Genomic DNA, 3760 nt, shown 5'->3' on the forward strand with positions numbered 1-3760 from the left:
CTGAGTTGTTTTTCCTAGGGTGTGAGCCACGTCTCTTTGCCCATCTGCCCATTTGTTTTGGGCTGAATCATGTCCCCCCAACAATGTCACAGGCTGAAGCCATCATCCCCAGGGACTCGGAATGTAACTGTGTTTGTAGATACGATGTTCACAAACGTTGATTAAGTTAAAATGGGGTCATATGGGAGGGCCCTAATTTAATCTGACTGTGTCCTGATAAAAAGAAGAAATCTGGACACACAAAAAGACCCCCTGGGGTGCACACAGGGAGTAAAGGCCAAGTGAGGGCACAGGGAGAAGGCAGGGGCTGCCAGCTGCGGAGAGAGGCCTCGGAGGAACCAGTCCTGCCCCCTTGATCTCGGACTCCTGCCTCCAGGACTGTGGGAAAATCAGTGTGCTGGTGGCTCAAGCCGGTCGAGGCAGCACTGAAGACACGTGGGTTGTTTGCAATTGTTGCTGTTACACCTAAAACTGCCATAAATATTCATGGTCAATTTACTGTGTGAACATGCGTTTTCATTTCTCTGGGCCTGGAAATGTGATTGCTGGGCCATATAGTAACTGCCTGTTCTGTTTTGTAAAAAACTGCTCAGCTGCTTTCTAGAGTGGCAGTCTGGTTTCACCTTCCACCAGCAGTGTGTGAGTGATCTGGTTTCTCCATGTCCTCCCCAGCACATGGGGTGGTCACTGCTTTTTGGTTCTCCCCCTTCTGATCTAAGTGTGGTGACCTCATGCTGTGATTTCAGTTTGTATTGTGTTGATGGCCAATGCCACCGAACACCTTTTCATGTGCTTACTTGCCATCTGTACATCCTCTTTGGCGAAACGTTTTTTGCCCATTCTCTCTGTTTTTTTTTTTGAGACGGAGTCTTGCTCTGTCGCCCAGGCTGGAGTGCAGTGGCACAATCTCAGCTCATTACAACCTCCGCCTCCCAGGATCAAGTGATTCTCCTGCCTCAGTCTCCCAAGTAGCTGGGACTACAGGCGCCTGCCACCACACCTGGCTAATTTTGTATTTTTAGTAGAGACTGGGTTTTGCCATGTTGGCCAGGCTGGGCTCGAATTGCTAACCTCAGGTGATCCGCCTGCCTGGGCCTCCCAAAGTGCTGGGATTATAGGCACAAGCCACTGCACCTGGCCATTTTTTGCCCACTTTCTAATTGGATTGTTCATTTAATTCTCGTTGTTTAGCATGTCTTTTTTATTTCTTTATTTTTTTGAGACAGGGTCTGGCTCTGTTGCCCAGGCTAGAGTGCAGTGGTGTGATCTTGGCTCACTGCAGCCTCAACCTCCTGGGCTCAAGCGATCCTCCTGAGTCACTGGGACTACAGGTATGAGGTGCCACACCCCGCTAATTTTTGATTTTGTAGAGATGGGGTCTCACTCTATTGCCCAGGCTGGTCTTGAACTCCTAGGCTCAGACAGTCTTCTCACCTTGGCCTCCTAAAGTGCTGGGATCACAGGAGTGAGCCCCCATACCTGGCCTCAGTAGATACTGTGATACCATATGTCAGATCCAGTCGATTCTCATTATTTGGCAGTAGTTACATCCGTGAAGTCACCAGGATTGCCAAAATAGCAAATTATCATCTATCTCTCAGCAGAGAAATACTGGGAAGGCTCCTGGGAGCCTCTGGTCACATTTTCATCACCTAATCAATGCATAACCTTGCTTTAGGTGTGTTTTGTTTGAAGATACCTGGTTTAATACAGATTGCTGGTGCGTTCACGTGGTGCTCACGGCCTGGGGCACTGTAACTCCTGCTTATCTAACACGATCTTCACCAGGCTTGTCACGGCCTTCCTGCACCTAGACGCCAGACAGCACTTCAGCACTGTGCTGGGAGGCACCTTTAAACAGCGAAATCGCCCACAAAAAGCACAAACGTGGAAAATGTGGCACCAAATAGACCATTAAATGATGCTTCACAAGTCAAAAACCACAGGCAGGGCACAACCTTCTCCACCTGAGCTGGGAAGGAGTGCACTGGGCCACGCAGAGGTTCTCACTGTGCCTAAGTCCACAGACGACTCTGAACGCTCCCAGAGGATTGATTTCGGGGTTACAAATATATTTTATTGAACAGAATGCACAAATGACAATGGGGGATGGTGTCTGGGTTGCAGTATTTCTTCCTGTCGGCAGGATGTCCTCTAGTCCTCTTCACTGAGGCTTTCACAGAGCAAACGCTGTTAACATTTTGATGAGGTCCAGTTGATTAAATTTCCCTTTTATGGATCAAGCTTTAGGTGTCAGCTTTAAGAACTCTTTGCCTAGGCCTAGATTCTGACCATTTTCTTCTTCTTTTTTTTTTTTCTTGAGATGGAGTCTGGCTCTTGTCACCCAGGCTGGAGTACAACAGCGGCATGCTCTTGGCTCACTGCAACCTCCGCCTCCCGGGTTCAAGCGATTCTCCTGCCTCAGCCTCCTGAGTAGTTGGAATTAAACAGGTGCCCACCACCACAGCCCGGCAATTTTTGTATTTTTAGTAGAGATGGGGTTTCACCATGTTGGACAGGCTAGTCTCGAACTCCTGACCTCAGGTGATCTGCCCGTCTCGGCCTCCCCAAAGTGCCGGGATTACAGGCGTGAGCCACTGCACCCAGCCTCTTCTATGTTTTTTCTACAAGCTTTGTAGTTTTATATTTTCCATTTAAGCCTGTGATCCTTTTTTTTTCAGTTGATGCATATTTTTGGGGTACATGTTATAATTTAATACATTCATACAAGTTGTAGAGATCAAACCAGTATACTTGGGGTGTCTTCATCATCTGCACGATTTGCCTTTATGCTAGAAACATTTGAATTACTCTCTTATAGCTATTTGGAAATGTACAATTGATTATTGTAAAGTACAGTCACCCTACTGCTCTCTGAAACAGTAAGTCTTATTCTGTCAAATCATGTATTTGTACCCATTCATCAACTTCTCTTATCTCTACCTCCCCACCCTCCCTGGCCTCTGGGACCCACTAGTCCTCTCCATCTCCACGAGGTCCACTGTTTCAGCTCCCACGTGAAAGCGAGAACACACGAAGTTGTCTTTCTGTGTCCGGCTTATTTCACTCAACGTAAAGACCTCCAGTTCTGGGCTGGGCACAGTGGCTCATGCCTCTAATCCCAGCACTTTGGGAGGCTGAGGCGGGCAGATCACAAGGTCAGGAGATGGAGACCATCCTGGTTAACACGGTGAAACCCTATCTCTACTAAAAATACAAAAAATTAGCCGGGCATGGTGGCACACGCCTGTGGTCCCAGCTAATTAGGAGGCTGAGGCAGGAGAATCGCTTGAACCCGGGAGGTGGAGGTTGCAGTAAGCCGAGATCGTGCCACTGTAGTGGCACGATCTCGGCTTACTGTATCACTCTAGCCTGGGTGACAGAGTGAGACTCTGTCTCAAAAAAAAAAAAAAAAAAAAAGACCTTCAGTTCCATTCATGTTGCTGCTAGTGACAGGATTTCCTTCTTTTTTATGAGTGAATAATGTAGTATACATCCACTGAATATAAGTACCATATTTTCTTTTTGTTTGACCTGGAGGCTCACTCTATCATCCAGGCTGGAGTGCAATGGTGATCTCGGCTCACTGCAACCTCCACCTCCTGGGTTCAAGTAATTCTCCTACCTCAGCCTTCCGAGTAGCTGGGATTACAGGCACCTGCCACCATGCCCAGCTAATTTTGTATTTTTAGTAAAGACATGGTTTCACCATGTTGGCCTGGGTGGTCTCGAACTTCTGACCTGAGGTGATCCTCCCACC

This window comes from Homo sapiens, chromosome 1, assembly GCF_000001405.40.
Source record: "Homo sapiens chromosome 1, GRCh38.p14 Primary Assembly".
NCBI lineage: Eukaryota > Metazoa > Chordata > Mammalia > Primates > Hominidae > Homo > Homo sapiens.